The sequence below is a fragment of the Homo sapiens genome, chromosome 8, assembly GCF_000001405.40.
Source record: "Homo sapiens chromosome 8, GRCh38.p14 Primary Assembly".
Lineage (NCBI taxonomy): Eukaryota > Metazoa > Chordata > Mammalia > Primates > Hominidae > Homo > Homo sapiens.
The window spans coordinates 79,807,092-79,825,128 of record NC_000008.11 but is presented as its reverse complement, the minus strand read 5'-3'; the positions used below and the strand labels follow the sequence as shown (position 1 = coordinate 79,825,128).

The window sequence follows — 18,037 nt, the reverse complement described above, 5'->3', positions numbered from 1 at the left end:
AGGCCGGCGCGGTGGCTCATGTCTGTAATCCCAGCACTTTAGGAGGCCAAAGCAGGCAGATTGCTTGAGCTCAGGAGTTCAAGACCAGCCTGGGCAACATGGCAAAATCCTGTCTCCACAAAAAAATACAAAAATCAGACCAGGCACGGTGGCTCATGCCTGTAATCCCAGCACTTTGGGAGGCCAAGGCAGGTGGATCACAAGGTCAGGAGTTCAAGACCAGCCTGGCTAACATGGTGAAACCCTGTCTCTACTAAAAATACAAAATTTGCTGGGTGTGGTGGCACACACCTGTAATCCCAGCTACTTGGGAGGCTGAGGCATGAGAATTGCTTCAACCCAGGAGACAGAGGTTGCAGTGAGCCAAGATTACGCCATTGCATTCTAGCCTGGGCAACAAGAGCGGAAACTCCATCTCAAAAAAAGAAAAGAAAAGAAAATCCAGTGTTGATGAGTTGATTTCCCAAAGCAGATGAACTGGGAAGTTGGGTGTGGTGATTATTTACATTAAATAGTAGCTACTGGTGGTCGGCGTGGTGGCTTACACCTGTAATCCCAGCACTTTGGGAGGCCAAGGTGGGCAGATCACGAGGTCAGGAGATCAAGACCATCCTGGCTAACACGGTGAAACCCCGACGCTACTAAAAATACAAAAAAAATTAGCCGGGCGTGGTGGCGGGCGCCTGTAGTCCCAGCTACTCGGGAGGCTGAGGCAGGATAATGGCGTGAATCCGGGAGGCGGAGCTTGCAGTGAGCTGAGATTGCGTCACTGCACTCCAGCCTGGGTGACAGATCGAGACACTATCACACACACACACACAAAAAAAAAAAAAAAAAAATTAAATAAATAGTAGCTACTGGCTGGGCACGGTGGCTCACACCTGTAATCCCAGCACCATGGGAGATGGAGGTGGCTGATTGCTTGAGGCCAGGAGTTCAAGACCAGCCTGGGCAACATGGTAAAACCCTGTCTCTACAAAAAACAAAACAAAACAAAAATTAGCCAGGCATGGTGGTGTGCACCTATAGTCCCAGCTACTCAGGAGGCTAAGATGGGAGGATCACTTGAGCCTAAGGAGGCTGAAGCTGCAGTGAGCTCTGATCGTGCCACTGCACTCTAGTCTAGATGACAGAGTGAGACCTTGTCTCAAAAAAAAAAAGGAAAAGAAAAGAAAAAAAGTAGCGTAGCTACCACTGATGCAGGACCCACATGAGCAGAGATTTATATACTTTATCTCGAGCAATTCTTCTGACAACACAGTGAAATGGGTACTATTTCCCCCATTTTTCAGATGAGGAACTTAAGGTTTAGAGAGCTTAAGCTCCTTCCTGAGGATTACTTTTCTACCAAGTGCCAGAGAGAACCAGCACTGAAAGCCAGATCAGTCTACCTCCAAAGACTATGCTCTTAAATTCTCCATTAGTCAGCTCCTCAGTGCAGTGGGATTTGATGCTTTACCAGAAATATCAAGACCCTAAATGCATCTTAAACACAATTTGATTTTCAAAGGTAGAAAAAAAAAGGAATGAAGTTTGACCAAGTGCCTATTGTATCCAGATAGTATGTCAGGGGATATGACTATGTCATTTGGTAAAAAATTAAATTTTATAAAATATTCAATTCTTGTGGAATATTTTCAAAATACACTTGTCAGTTAAAGTTAGGTACACACATGCAAATCATCCCCCTCAAGTAGTCTCACAAACTAGCCAAAACTTTCCCAGGGCAGAGGGCAGATTTTGCTCCCTATTTTATCCCCTTTGTGCATGGAATATTTGTCTTAGGCTGATAAATAATTAATAAATTAGTGCATAAAAATATGAACCTATTTTGAGGACAGCTATCAGAAAGCCTTATTTCTTAAAATGGAAGTGGCTCACCCTGGCAACCAGACATGGAGATATGGGGATTGCTCAATATACACCCAAAGTAGGTCTTATGCAGAAGACTAAGAAAGATGAGAGCGAAAATAAGACAAGGATATGGAGATATTGTTTTTGAAACTTGAAAAACTATAGTTTGTTTTTCTAATGTTTAATTGTTCCTATTCAGATTGGGGAAATTAAAAGCTCTTACTAGTTCAAAGTTTTACCCGATGAACATTACACCTACCCCTTTCAGAGATCTCAATGAATGAGTCTGTCTGTGATTTTTTTCAGCACTGTGATCCAAAAGATATCCAAACATAACATCCCCCTCCTACCCCAGCCCCCTCAGTGCATGTGTGTTTGGTAAACGTTAATGTGCCTGGGGTCTTTGGTATTGGGAAGTTAACATTCATTTTTTTGGCTGGAAATGCAAATAGTTCATCAAAATGTAATGCTTTTGGTGAACCAGAGATTGAAAGAATGAACCAATTCTGAGGACAGTAATCATGGACTTGATTTGCAGCTTAAGAAAGGTCATTTCTGCTGAGTAGTATCCTGAAGCAAATACTACCAAGGGACGCTATGGACTTTCTAGACTCGATATTCTTAAAACTATGGATAAACATACCTCTTGAGAAATGCAGGTATTCACATGCTTAAAGAGAGGTTTGGTACGTATGCTATCTTTTTTTTTTTTTTTCTTGAGACAGGGTCTTACTTTATTGCCTAGACTGGAGTGTAGTGGCACAGTCATAGCTCACTGCAGCCTCAGCCTCCCTAAGTGTTGAGATTACAGATGTAAGCCACTGTGCCTGGCCTGCCGATACTATCTTAAGGGTGCTTGCAGGCCTCTGGTGTGGTCAGATCTCATGGGTTGTAAAGTCATAAATAAGTTAACTGCTCCATGTTTCTAGCTGAATCTCTGTCTGCCCTTATGTCTTTAGGCCAATAGCAGAGAGCGGTAGCCTTGGGAAGAGGAAATAATCACTGGGCTCAGAGTTCTTCACTGCCTGCTCCACACATTACAATTCAGTATCCCAATTAGATTGTTCCAGGGACACTCCCTCCCTTCTTTCCTTCCTTCCACTGACTCATTCATCCATTCATTCAACAAACATTGATGGAGCCCCTCCTATGGCCTTATAGCAGCCCCCATCCGGTGAGAGGAAACACACAAGTAAGCCCTTAGAGTCCAGTGTGCAATCGAGGGTTAGAGCTGTGCACAGCTTTTGGAAGAGCAGAGTGGAGGGACACCTGGCTGTTGGCAGTCAGGGACAAGGAGATTTTCCTAGAGGAAGGGAGCTTGAGCTGAGCCTTTAAACTCTTTTTTTTTTTTTTTTTTTTGAGACAGATTCTCACTCTGTTGCCCAGACTGGGGTATAGTGGTGCCATCTCGGCTCACCCCAACCTCTGCCTCCTCAGCCTCCTGAATAATTGGGATTACAGTCATGCGCCACTACCGCCCAGCTAATTTTTGTATTTTTGGTAGAGACAGGGTTCACCATGTTGGCCAGCCTGGTCTTGAACTCCTGACCTCAAATGATCCACCCACCTCGGCTTCCTAAAGTGTTGGGATTACAGGCGTTAGCCACTGCACCCAGCCTGAGCTGAGCCTTTAAGAATACAAGAAAAGTTTGCTAGGAAGAAAAGAAATGGTAAAGCTGTCCAGGCTCTCACACCATGTGTGAAAGCATGGGTGTCGGGGTAGAGAGGAGAAGTAGGCAGGGGAAATTGTGGCAGAGGCCAAGAAGGGAAGTAACCCTGCTTGGACTCCAGGCTGTGTGCAGAGCTATGATGGGAGATAAGGTCAGATAAGAATAACAATTGCTAACATTTATTGAACACCTGCTATTTTCCAGGCACTGTTCTAATGGATTTATGTGTTTTCACTTAGTTAATCATGGCAACAGCCTTATGAGGTGTATATAAATATTACTACTGTTTTTCAGATTCACAGGGAGATCAAGTATTTTGCCCAAGAGCACACAGCTAGAGAGTGGAGAAGTCCGGATTCAACCCAGACAGATTGACTCCAGAGCGTGTGCTATTCGTGGCTATGCCAGAATGCCCTGATGGCCTCAGGTTTGCCTTGCCAACTGACAAAGGCGACTGTTTCCTACCCATTGGCTCAGGTTAGAGGTTACCATGACTGTGGAGACAGTTTTCTCGTGCCATTCTCTCCTTCCTTAGACCACAGGGAATGAAGCTGCACACACTGTTTAATACAGAAAGCCAACATAGAGGGTAGGAACCGTATTGGTTTTATTCATCAATGTAAATTCAGTACCAAGCCCAGTGCCTGGTACACAGTAAGCACTCACTGAATATTTATGGAAGAAACAACAAATGAATTCACTGATTTTTATCTATTAATTATATGGAAGTGAATTCAGACTTCTTCAGGGTTATGCTTAGCTTTACTTTTGAGATGTAAACTAAGAAAAACGAGATTCCACTAAAACCTTGTCACATATATATATTTGGAAATCTGTGAAATGGTCAACCCCAAACCAAAATTTACATAAGATTAACTTATTACTTTCAAATTTACAACCGATGGATTGTGGTGTGTGTGTGTGTGTATGCGTGTGTTCCATTTGTAGCATGTGTAGTTGCTTTATCTAATATGTACATTCTCTAATTCACAGATGGTTCCAGCTTCCTACCCTTCCAGTTAAAATAAACAAAAACGAGGGTCTTGAGTGTCTATGATTTTCATAAGATCTATGGCGTTTCTTCTGCAGATGATCAACAGTTGCCTGCCTTGGACTTTGGAGTTCCCAAGAACTAGGTAGGTAATGGAATTAGGTCACACTGACATCCAGTGATGGAATTTGCCCAGTGACATTAATGCATCGATTGCTTCCTATATATTTCAGTGTCATAAACAAAGTTTCTCTTTCCTTTTCAAGAAGAAAAGAGCATGGTGGAAACAGAGAAGTGTGTCTTTTGTTTGGTCAGCAAGGCAGGAAAGGCCTTGTGTGCTCTGTCCGTCAACACTGATAAGCTGTGACATCGGGAGGCTGGGAGGATCCCCAGCTGTTCCACCTACACTGGGTCCCAGGGCGCGTGATCCTGCTCAGGAAGCAAGGGGAGCTCAAACAGGGAAAGATGAGCACCATGAACACAAATAGTCTACTCGGAGTTTCTTAAATTATTTGAGTATCCATATATTTGACTTCAAGAGACCTTTATTTTCTGGGGTTCTTCCTTGTAGCTCAAAGAGTATGTGTTTTGAACATTTCATGTGGTGCAGCCCCTCTACAAAAGCCTTCCTCCAAAAGAGTCAAAATCTTAAGGAATCTAGCAAAACTAGAACAAGATGCATCATAATTGGTTTCTATAAATTAAGAAACAATTGATTTTTAATTTCTTAAGTATATTTGTGGTTAAGTATAATGGTATTTGATTTCTTAAGTATATTTGTGGTTAAGTATAATAGTATTTGGTGCATTTTATTCCATTGTGAAGAGTGTTAATGATTATAACTAACAAGTTTTATGTGCTTTACAATTTCAAATGCCTCCTACAAAGTTTATATTTGTTCATTTGGTTCTCTTTAGCCCTCTCTGAAATGAAGAAAACTATTACTATCCTACTTTTACAGATGAGGAGACTGGAGTTCAGGGAACATACTAGGCTAAGGGTTTTGCCTTAGAGGCAGCCTGTGAAAAGTAAAGGAGCAAGAAGTTGAACCTAGTTCAAGTTCCAAAACCCATTCTCCTCTTATCCACTCAATGGATAAATCAAGAAAAGTGAGAAACTTATTCTTGAATGTCCAACACAGGCTAGGTAATTTTACACATACGATTTCATTTAGAAACTACAAGTCAGGTACTATTATCAGGGATAGAGAAATTAAGATTCCAAGAGGACCAATAACTTAACAAATGCTTGGTAAATGATTGAGCCCTTTTAGTGAAAAATAACAGGTAATTCTAGGAAAAAAGATGTTCTTGAACTAGATCAGCTTACTGAAATTTGTTAGGAGTGCAACCCTAGGCAGAATATCTCACAAAAGGAAGCTTATGTGTAAAAAGTGGAGTTCGGTTGGGTTTTTTTTTTTTTTTTTTCTATTCTGAGGAATATTTTCTTTTCCTTTTCAGAAAATCCAGGTCAGGAACTGTATCTTTGCTCAGCCACCTGCAAACAGACTTGAGAACAATGTAAACCACCCTCTGCAGGATATTGATTCTGATGGAGTAAATGTTGATTAAGCAGAATGGTGTTTTTTTTTTTAACTGGAGGAATTCCAGATCTTTCCTTAGGCCTGTCTCTCCAGGGAAATGAGCTCTAGCCTTAAAAATCTACAGAAAACCTGAGTAAGAATGAAGATTTATGATGGGAGACGCTGGGCGGAAGACGGCTGGCTATCTGGTGGGCTATCTAGAAGCTCATCTTTGTGTTATTAGAGAAACACTCCCGCTCTTGACAGGATATGGTCTGCTTATCACATAATCTTCTCAAGTTTCATTCCCATTCTGCTTACAAATGCCCCAAATATAAAGAGATGCATTTCATCAAGACAGCCTTTTAAGAGGCAGTTGATCCCAGCTGTTGCCGTCTATCTTAAACACCTACCTTTTCACCCTAGTGTGGAGTTTACATGTCGATAAGCGATGTAAAAAAGGGAACTTGAGAAATCTCAGCAGAGGAAAAACACCGAGCCTGTCTCTGGGGATTGGAGTAGGAGTAAAGAGCTCAGGAAGCTCTAAGTTCCAGAACACCCCTCCTTTTCAGAGAGGAGCCCTGGGGCGATGCTGGCCTGCCCCAGGCCTTGAGCTGATCTCAAATACCAGGGACTGGAAACCGTTTTCCAGGCACATAAGCTGAGGGATTCATTGCCTGCTACTTTGGCATTTTCTTGTCAAGAGCTGGTGGTAAAATAGTAGTGAAAGATGCAGGTAGGAACAGGAGAGCCAGACCTGGAAGGTTTTGGCTCACCCATGGACCCTCCGTCCTGGCATTGTCCATGCTCATCCGTGATGAATTCTCAATACCTGATTTCATGACACACATATGTAGACCTGGGATGCATTCCCAGACGGCCAAGTGGGATATGCTGCCAAATGACCTGTGAGTTTTCTCTCACTCCTGAGTCTGCAAGCTCAGAAAGCCAGGGGCTCTTAGAGGTTGCTAAGTCCAGAAGACTTTTATGCAGAATACCGAGGGAGGAGGTTAGAATTAAGTATTAAGTGGGCAAAACAGGAGGGGTCATTTCAGAGTCCTGCTTGGGTCCTGGTGCAGCCTGTTGTAGCTGATAGGGATGGAGGCGGGGAGGTATCTCCTTTGTTGAAGAAATAAACCTGTGACTGTGAATCCAGTCTGCTCCCTCCTAAAGACTGGGCTGCAGTGTTTGAAGTCGGAACTGGTGTGTTTCGGGAAGCTGGCTGCATCAGGTTCCCATTAGCCCAGGCAGCTGCACCAGTGGGTTCACACCATGACATGGTAACAATTAAGCCTTCTGCTACTGGTCCTTACCCTGGGGTGAGGCTCTTTTCTTTTTTACCAATGTGACTTAAAGTTGCCCTGGTTTCCTTGTGGCTCGATTTCCTGCAGATTCCCGTTACTTTATGTCTAATCTTCTGAGACCACTCATTAGACCACACAAATTGTAACAATTGTCTCCAGCACACAGATCCTGTTCCAGACCCTCAGTGTACCTAGGAAAAAGACTATCTCTCTGAAACGTGAGAGTTACTTCCTGTGTAAATAGACGAATTCCAAAAAATCCGAGGCAAAAATATTAGGGAAAATAAACTAATTATACTCCCATACCCTGAGGCATTCTAAAATTATTTTCTTCCTTTAAAAAAAAAAAGCAGTGGGTTAGAACAATTATTTCCATTTTCAGTGATGAGAGAGATAATACATGTACAAATGACTGTAGTATGAAGCAGAAAAACGAAAAGATATCATTAAATTCTATGGTTTTTCCAAGCAAGAAAAATATTTCTTTATAGAGAATAAGCCTGATCAGAGAAATTGCCATTTGAGCTGAAACTTGAAAAATAGGTGGAATTTGGATATATAGAAGTTGGCAGAAAGAAGAAAGAAGCATTTAGGAGAGGGAACAAAAGCAACAAAAATGTGGGCATTTTCATAGGACTTACTGTAGCTTAAGCACTGATAGACGCTGTGGGAAGTAAAATAATGTATAGATGCCTCTCGATTTACAACGAAGTTACGTCCTGATAAGTCTATTGTAAGATGAAAATATTGTAAGATGAAAATATTGTAAGATGAAAATGCATTTAGGCGACGGGCACAGTGGTTCATGCCTGTAATCCCAGCACTTTGGGAGGCTGAGGGGGGCAGATCACCTGAGGTCAGGAGTTCAAGACCAGCCTGGCCAATATGGTGAAACCCCGTCTCTGCTAAAAGTACAAAAATTAGCTGGGTGTGGTGGCACATGCTTGTAATCCCAGCTACTCAGGAGGCTGAGGCAGGAGAATCGCTTGAACCTGGGAGGTGGAGGTTGCAGTGAGCCGAGATCGCGCCACTGACTCCAGCCTGGGCTACAGAGAAAGACTCCGTCTCAAAAAAACCCAAAAAACAAAAAAACAAAAACAAAAAGAATGCATTTAATACACCTACTCTACTGAGTATTATAGCTTAGCCTAGCCTACCTTAAACATGTTCAGAACACTTCCATTAGCCCATACTTGGGCAAAATCATCTGGCAATGCAGTGCACCGTAGAGTGTCAGTTGTTTACCCTCGTGATCCTGTGGCTGCCTGGCAGCTGTGGCTTACTGCCCAGCATCGAGAAAGAGAATCACACTGCTTTCTACTGAATGTATATTCCTTTTGTACCATTGTAAAGTTGAAAAATCTTAAGTTGAACCACTGTAAGTTGGGGACTATCTATAAGACATAGGTCCTGCCTTCAAGAGGCCTTCATTTGAATTGAAGTGATAAAACAAACACAGGATAGAAATAACTTAGAGAACAATGTAAGACATGTATGACCTTAAATCACTGCAGACCTAGGTAACATTTAATTGTGGTATGTAGGTGATGATAAATATGATTTCAAGTAGGGAGTTGTCAAAGTTTGGTGAAATAGCAAGACCAGATTTGAGGGGGGTGATCTTTAGTTAGATGCTTAGGGCTGAAGGAAAGTCATTAAAACAAAGGAGAAAGTGAATGAATTGAGAATAAGGCAGGCCACATGCTGCAGACTAGTGGTTCTCCAGCTTCAGCGTGCATCAGACTCATCCAGAGAACTCGTTAATAACATACATGTCCCTGAGCTCCACAGCAGACTTTCTGATTTAGTAGGTCTGGTATGAGGTGTGATGAGTTGCATTCTGGCAAGCTCCCTAGTGATGCTGGTGCACCTGGTCTGGAAACTCACACTTTGTGAACTGCTGTGGACAGATCAGCATGCCCAGAGCACAAGCATTTACTTGGGGGAAATAGTGGGAAATCAAACTGTACGAGGGAAGTCCACCAGAGAAGTATTAAAAATCAGTTTGCTGTTAACTCTCTTCATTTTCCTGATTGTTGATTCCTCATCTGAACAAAACCATAAACACTCTTGACTTTTTCTATTCCCAAATGGCTTCTTGGTTTAGCATGAATTACTGAGAAAGAAGAAAATCATGGTTTTATGCCTCCAGAAGAAACTACCATGGTTAAAGCTGGATATCATTTCAGAAGACAGGTTCCATGAATCCCTCTGCAAGACGCATGTTCTTAAATAGCTTTACCCCTTCCAGGAAGTGTGATCTGTTATGGGACTGGTGTTAAGGAGCTTTACACATTGAACAGCCACTGTCAGAGCCAACCCCCTTAAAACCCAAGTATTAAAAACACCAACCAAAGAGACATAGCAAAATGATGCACTATTTCTTTGCTTTCCTAAGAGATCCGCATCACTTATTATCTCAAATGTTTTATAAATAGCAGTTATAACCCTTATTACATTATCTTTTCGCTTTTGCATATTTAAATAAAAACTTATCATTGTTTCCCCCTATTTTTACAGAAAAAAGAAGTAATCTGATGGGGGAAAGATGTCCAAACTTGAAAACTTCTTAAAAATGTCTTTATTCTGTTTGAAGTAAAACAACCTCATAATCTTCTTTCTACTCCATGGGGTTTTTAAAATGAGTTTCTCCTGGAGTTTGTTAGCTTGATGGAGGTGGAAATGTTTTACTGTAGACAGTTTCTTACAAGTGTTTAAAGATCAAGCTGTAATATCGTATAGTCTGTAGACAGAAATGTGCAGTGCAGTCTCCAAAATTTTCTTCAGTCCTTTGACTATTGAAGATAAGAGTTGCGTAGTATGCAAATGACAGTTATTAGAGAATATCACAATATACACAGTTAATAGCATGATTCATATTTATGAAGTACTAATTTCATATAAATACCAAAAATATATACTGATTATATGGTTCAAATTTTGAATTGAGCAAATAAAACAAACTAGCTAGGAAGAGAATTTATTTTATAACAATGAAGCACGTTTATCATTTATTATCTTTTCTCATGATTTAATGGGTGAAGGATAACTAAAGTAAATAACTTTTAAGGTATTTCTTTATGTAGAAATAAATGACATATTTCAGTTCCATAATGAAATTAGGACTGATACGGTTTGGCTGTGTCCCCACCCAAATCTCATCTTGAATCATAGTTCCCATAATCACCACATGTCATGGGAGGGACCCAGTGGGAGGTAATTGAATCAGGGGGGCAGTTTTTCCCATGCTGTTCTTGAGACAGTGAATAAGTCTCATGAGAGCTGATGGTTTTATAAAGGGCAGTTCTCCTGCACATGCTCTCTTGTCTGCTGCCATGTAAGAAGTGCCTTTGCTCCTTTTTTGCCTTCAGCTATGAGACTGTGAGACCTCCCCAGCCATGTGGAACTGTGAGTCCATTAAATCTCTTTTTCTTTATAAATTACCAAGTCTTGGGTGTTTCTTCCTGCCAGTATGAACATTAACTAATACAGGGACTAAAGGTGCTCATTGCAGTGCTTAGAAAGGGAATTCTGCAGCACAGGTGAGAGATAAGAAACTGTTACATGCATTGAGAGCTGGACAGGAACTTTCAGGGGCTGGGTTGATTGTGGCACCTGCCTGGAAACCCATAGTTGCTTAATGACAGGGTGAGGCCAGAATCCTGGATTTGTCAGAATTGCTGACTCCTTCACTGGGACCCTCTCTAGACTATAGTAAGGAGCAGCTTCTTTTTAGAAGAGAAATTTTTTTTGCTAAATTTATCTCAGATTTATTACGTACTGACATTTATTACCTCCCTTACATATTAAGCATCTTAGTAAAAAATAACATCTTGATTGAAAATAAATTGAATACAATAAAGAAAATTTGATTTATCCTCTAACCCAATGTCAAAGATGATGTTTTGCTGGGCGCAGTGGCTCACGCCTGTAATCCCAGCACTTTGGGAGGCCAAGGCGGGCAGATCACCTGAGGTTGGGAGTTCGAGACCACCCTGACCAACATGGAGAAACCCCATCTCTGCTAAAAATACAAAATTAGGCAGGTGTGGTGGCACATGCCTGTAATCCCAGCTACTCGGGAGGCTGAGGCAGGAGAATGGCTTGAACCCGGGAGGCGGAGTTTGCAGTGAGCTGAGATCGCGCCACTGCACTCCAGCCTGGCAACAAGAGTGAAACTCCATCTCAAAAACAAAAACAGAAACAAAAACAAACAAACAAAAAAACAAAGATGATGTTTTAATTTTGTTTTCCTTGGCCATGTGTATTTTTCTGTGAAGAAAATTTATTTAATTGAGATTAGGTTTCCTTTTTTTTGAGAAAGAGTCTCACTCTGTCACTCAGGCTGGAGTGCAGTGTCCTGATCTCTGCTCACTGCAACCTCCACCTCTCAGGCTATAGCGATTCTCCTGCCTCACTCTCCTGAGCAGCTGTGCTCAGGATCACAGGCACCCGCCATGATGCCCGGATAATTTTTGTATTTTTAGTAGAGATGGGGTTTCACCAGGTTAGTCAGGCTGGTCTCGAACTCCTGGCATCAAGTGATCTGCCTGCCCACCTTGGACTCCCAAGAGCTGGGATTACAGACAGACTTGCGCCACCGTGCCTGGCCAGGTTTCCATTTGTTTTTGACGTACGGCACTTATTTTCAGTCTCATGTTAGTGCATTTGTATATTATGTTTGTGAGCTGCAGACATGGGGTTCTCCAGCATAATACATAAAGTTGTTAGTGCAACCCATGTCAGGTATCTGTCTGAAGGAAGAAGACTAGATTTTAAATAAATATATCAGTTGATTCATTCAATGACTGTTCTTGCTTTCTGTACTCACGTGGGGAGAACATACTCCTATTTTACACTGTATTGCTCAAAAGTCTTCTAGAACCCCTCCAGTATTTGTCCTCAAGCTAGCTGTTGAGTTTCCTCAAAAATGTGGTCTCATGATTTTATTGTAATTTTATTTATTTTTGAGACAGGGTCTTGCTCTGTCTCCCAGGCTTGAGTGGAGTGGCGTGATCATGGCTCACTGCTGCCTCAACCTCCTGGGCTCAAGCGATTCTCTGACCTCAGACCCCTGAGTAGATGGGACCGCAGGTGTGCACCACCATGCTTGGCTAATTTTTAGTTTTTATGTAGAGGTAGGTCTTGCTATGTTGCCCAGGCTGGTCTCAACCTCCTGGCCTCAAGTGATCCTCCCACGTTGGCCTCCCAAAATGCTGGGATTACAGGCGTGAGCCACTGCACTCAGCCTTGTCATTTTATTCTTGACCAAAAATACATTACTCAGTTTGGTCAGCTACTTCATTTATCAAACAATGCCTTTTAAACCTTTTTTATTTTAAGTTCCAGGGTACATGAGCAGGATGTGAAGGTTTGTTACATAGGTAAACAAGGGCCATGGTGGTTTGCTGCAGTTATCAACCCATCACCTAGGTATTAAGCCCAGCATGCATTAGCTATTTTACCTAATGCTCTCCCTTCCCCTTCTCCCTTCCAGGACCCAATGTGTGTTGTTCCCCTCCTTGTGTCCATATGTTCTCATTGTTCAGCTCCCACTTATAAGTGAGAACATGTGGTGTTTGGTTTACCGTTCCTGTGTTAGTTTGCTGAGGATTATGGTGTCTAGCTTCATCCATGTCTCTGCAAAGGACATGATCTTTTTCCTTTTTATGGCTGCATAGTATTCCATGGTGTATATGTACCACACTTTCTTTATCCACCTTATCATTGATGGGCATTTGGGTTGATTCCATGTTTTTGCTATTGTGAATAGTGCTGCAATGAACATATGTGTGCATGTATCTTTGTAATAGAATGATTTATATTCCTTTGGGTCTGTACCCAGTAATGGCATTGCTGGGTCAAATGATATTTCTGGTTCTAGATCTTTGAGGAATCACCACACGGTCTTCCACAATGACTGAACTAATTTACATTCTCACCAACAGTGTAAAAGTGTTCCCATTTCTCTGCAACATTGCCAGCCATCTCTTGTTTCTTGACTTCTTGCGGTTTGTTTTGTTTTGTTTTGTTTTGTTTTGAGACAGAGTCTTGCTGTGTCACCCAGACTGGAGTGTAGTGGCACGAACTTGGCTCACTGCAACCTCTGCCTCCCAGGTTCAAGTGATTCTCCTGCCTCAGCCTCCTGAGTAGCTGGGATTACAGGCGTGCACCACCATGCCTGGCTGATTTTTATATTTTTGGTAGAGACAGGATTTTGCCACATTGGCCAAGCTGGTCTCGAACTCCTGGCCTCAAGTGATCCACTTGCCTTGGCCTACCAAAGTGCTGGGATTTTAGGCATGAGCCACTGCACCCAGCAGTGTTTCTTGACTTTTTAATAATTTCCATTCTGACTGGCGTGAAATGGCATCTCATTGTGGTTTTGATTTGCATTTCTCTAATGATCAGTGATGTTGAGCTTTTTTTTCATATGTTTCTTGGCCACATGGATGTCTTCTTTTGAGAATTGTCTGTTCATGGCCTTTGCCCACTTTTCAATGGTTTTTTTTTCTTGTAAATTTGTTTAAGTTCCTTGTAGGTTCTGGATACTAGATCTTTGTCAGATGGATAGATTGCAAAAATTTTCTCCCACTCTGTAGGTTGCCTGTTTGCTCTGATGATACTTTCTTTTGCTGTGCAGAAGCTCTTTAGTTTAATTAGATCCCATTTGTCAATTTTTGCTTTTGTTGCAATTGCTTTTGGCAATTTCGTCATGAAACCTTAGCCCGTGCCTATGTCCTGAATGGTATTGCCTAGATTTTCCTCTAGGGTTTCTATAGTTTTGGGTTTTACATTTAAGTCTCTAATCCATCTTGAGTTAATTTTTGTATAAGGTGTAGTATGGAAGGGGTCCAGTTTCAATTTTCTGCATATGGCTAGCCAGTTTTCCCAACACCATTTATTAAATAGGGAATCCCTTCCTCATTGTTTTCTGTTAAAAGAAAAACTTCAGCTGAATCAAACAATGCTTACTGGTTTTTGTTTTTTTCCAAAAATCAAATCCATCAACTTCAAATCTACACATAAAGAATAATGATAGGCTGGCTGGGTGTGGTGGCTCTTGCCTGTAATCCCAGCACTTTGAGAGGCCAAGGCGGGTGGATCACTTGAGGCCAGAAGTTTGAGACCAGCCTGGCCAACATGGCAAAAACCTATCCTCTACTAAAAATACAAGTGTTAGCAGGGTATGGTGGCACGGGCCTGTAGTCCCAGCTATTAGGGAGGCTAAGGTGGGAAGATCACCTGAGCTTGCGAGGTGGAGGTTGTAGTGAGCTGAGATCATGCCACTGTGCTCCATCCTGGGTGACAGAGTGAGACTCTGTCAAAAAAAAAAGAAAGAAAGAATGATGATATGGCACAACTGAGGAGATGTGAAGGAAAGTGCCAAGAGAAGATAAAAAAAATATTGGGGCTAACAGCTGCATCCTTGGAAGAGATGTAGCCTCCCAAGAAGACTCCAAGAAATAAATGTGGCCTCCCAAGAAGAACTTACATATTGGCCACATAAGTTCTAGTGCTTGTGTAAAAGGTACATTCCCTACTAGTCACACCTTGCCCATGATGTCTTCTCATAGGCTGATCATGAAAGTTGCCACAGAACAAAATTCTGCCCATGCTTCATTTGCTTAGAAGTCTTCATTTAAAGTATCTGAAGCCAGGTGTGGTGGTTCACGCCTGTAATCCCGGCACGTTGGGAGACCGAGGAGCGTGGATTGCTTGAGCCCAGGAGTTTGAGAACAGCCTAGGCAACACGGCAAAACCCTGTCTCTACAAAAAATACAAAAATTAGCTGGGTGTGGTGGTGGTGTGTGCCTGTCATCTCAGCTACTCAAGAGGCTGAAGTGGGAGGATTAATTGAGCCTGAGAGGTTAAGTCTGTGATGAACAGTGGTCTTTCCACTGCACTCCAGCCTGGGTGACAGGAGACTCTGTCTCAAATAGAAATAAATAAATATAAAACATCAGAGCCTGGGCAACATAGTGAGATCCTGTTGCTAAAAAAAATTAGCCAGGCATGGTGGCATGCGCCTCTAGTTCTACCTACTCAGGAGGCTGAAACAGGAGGATCACTCAAGCCCAGGAGCCCAGGTTACAGTGATTTATGATCTTGCCTGTGAAGAGCCACTGCACTGCAGCCTGGGCAACAGAGCACGACCCTGTCTCCAAAAAATATATAAATATTTTTAAAAATCTATACAAAAAGATAAAAAGGAAAGCTCTAGTAAGGAACTGACAATGGCTATTGGAATGGGATCCTTCTCAGTCCTAGAAACCCTCCCTGTTTCTCCTAAGCCTTCACTTCCTTACTCTATTCATGTCCCTAGCCTGGTTCTCCTGCTCAGTCCCTTCAACATCTCTCCTAACTCTTGGTTCTCTGATTTCCTTGACTTTGCCCCACACCCAGCCCCCGCTGATTCCCATGACCAGCTGCCTTCTCCACCCCCCACCTCTGCTGTGGAGCTTTCCTGGACAGAATTGTGCTGCGTGTAGGTGGTGACTCTTCTGCTGTCATTTTCTTGTCCTTAGTATCTCTTCAAATCCCCAAACTTGACAACTACCCTCAGGTCTCCCACTCCGCCACCTCCGCTTGCATTGCATGTCACAGAAAGAAATAAACATTAAAAAAAAAGGAAGGAAAAAGAAGAAAAAGAAAACAAAACAAACGAAAAAACAAGGCCTGCGGCCTTCGGTGTTGCAGCACCTGCATCTCCTAATCTCTTCCCTTTAGCCCTCCTACACTTTCACATCCGAAGGCGTCCTGCATTCTTTCCAATGCTGACCTCACTGCCCCAAACTCTCCCCGCCCTAAGCAGGCACTAAATCCTAGGCCTCTACTCTCCTCCATGACCTTTCTTTGCCAACTATCTTCTTTCCTGTCTTCACTACTTTCCTCCTTCCTCCCTTTGACCTACTTATAATTTCTTTTTTCTTTCTTTCTTTTTTCTTTTTTTTGAAATGGAGTCTCGCTCTGTTGCCCAGGCTGGAGTGCAGTGGCACAGTCTTGGCTCACTGCAACCTCTCCCTCCCAGGTTCAAGCAATTCCCTGCCTCAGCCTCCTGAGTAGCTGGGATTACGGGCACCTGCCACCACGCCCGGCTAATTTTTGTATTTTTAGTAGGGATGGGATTTCACCATTTTGGCCAGGCTGGTCTTGAACTCGTGACCTCATGATCCACCTGCCTTGGCCTCCCGAAGTGCTGGCATTACAGGTGTGAGTCACCGCGCCCGACCTTCACTTACAATTTCTAATCTTCCCCCTCTTCAAAGATAAAAGCAACTTCCTTCACCTTCCCTTTCTTCTCAGGCTGCTGTGCTAGTTCTGTCCTTTTCATTCTGCCTATGTGTCTTGAAAAAGGAGCTGCACTTGCTTGTTGTGCACCGTTTGCTCCACACAGCCTCAATCTATGTCCACCCGCTGCTTGACCACACTTGGTCTCAGTTACAGGATCAATGAGGGAGAACCACCCGGGCGTGCATCCGGCTGTCCACCTTGCTAGATGTACAGCCTTGGACAAGTTACCTCCCTCTCTGTGCCCCAGCCTCCTCATCTGAAAAATGGGGATAATGATACTTTTGCTTCTTAATCAACATAATAATGAAATAATAACAGAATGATAATTTGATTAGATTCTGGTAAGGTTAATACATAAGAGGAGGTGCAAAGAGAGTGAACTAATAATAGACAAAAATAAAAAAGGATTCATTCCATCTCTCTGGAACGCCCTTATCTCCCATCTGATACCCAGTAGGTCCCAGTGAGTCATTCTCATCCCAGTTTACAATTGCCTTCTTCCTCAGATCTCTCCTGACTGTCCACCTCCGCCGACGTGAATGGTCTCTTTAACCCTGGTACTTAGGGAATTTAACCTTAGTGCTTCTCACGTGGTGCTGTCTTTGCCCTGTCTTGCTCGGCAGTTAGTCATAAGCGTGTCCCATGTCCTCCACATCCCTGTGACATCTCGCAGGCCAAGGGTCTGTTTTACTTGTATAGTAGTGTGCTAGAGCAGCCATCACAAAGGACCACAGGCTGGGTGGCAAAAATTAATTTTTTCACAGTTCTGGAGGCTACAAATCTGAGATTAAGGTGTTGGCAGGGCTGTTTTCTCCCGTGGCCTCTCTCCTTGGCTACAGATGGCCGTCTTCTCCCTGCGTCTTCACATCATCTTCCCTTTGTGTTTGCCTGTGTCCTAATCACCTCTTCTTATAAGCACACAGTCAGACGGGATTAGGGCACACCTGTATGACCTCATTTTCACTAAACTATCTTTTTTTTTTTTTTTTTGAGACAGAGTCTGGCTCTGTTGCCCAGGGTGGAGTACAGTGGTGTGATCTTGACTTGCTGCAACCTCCACCTCCCGAGTTCAAGTGATTCTCCTGCCTCAGCCTCCCAAGTAGCTGGGATTATAGGTGCCAGCCACCATGCCCAGCTAATTTTTGTATTTTTAGTAGAGACAGGGTTTCCCCATGTTGGCCAGCCTGGTCTCGAACTCCTGACCTCAGGAGTTCGCCCACCTCGGCCTCCCAAAGTGCTGGGAATACAGGGGTGAGCCACCGTGCCCGGTCTTACTTAACTATCTTTTTAAAGACTCTTTTTGGCCAGGCTCGGTGGCTCACACGTGTAATCCCAGCACTTTGAGAGGACGAGATGGGCAGATCACGAGGTCAGGAGTTCAAGAACAGCCTGGCCAGCATAG

General features: G+C 42.9%; 1 long non-coding RNA gene across 1 annotated transcript in view; it reads left to right on the top strand.

Moving 5' to 3' along the window:
- LOC101927040 (uncharacterized) overlaps positions 1 to 18,037 on the top strand; it is a 102,366-nt gene that overhangs the window by 46,609 nt on the left and 37,720 nt on the right. Inside the window, exon 3 of the long non-coding RNA NR_110954.1 lies at positions 4,614 to 4,660. This is a non-coding gene — a long non-coding RNA (uncharacterized LOC101927040). The remainder of the gene's footprint in view (positions 1 to 4,613; positions 4,661 to 18,037) is intronic.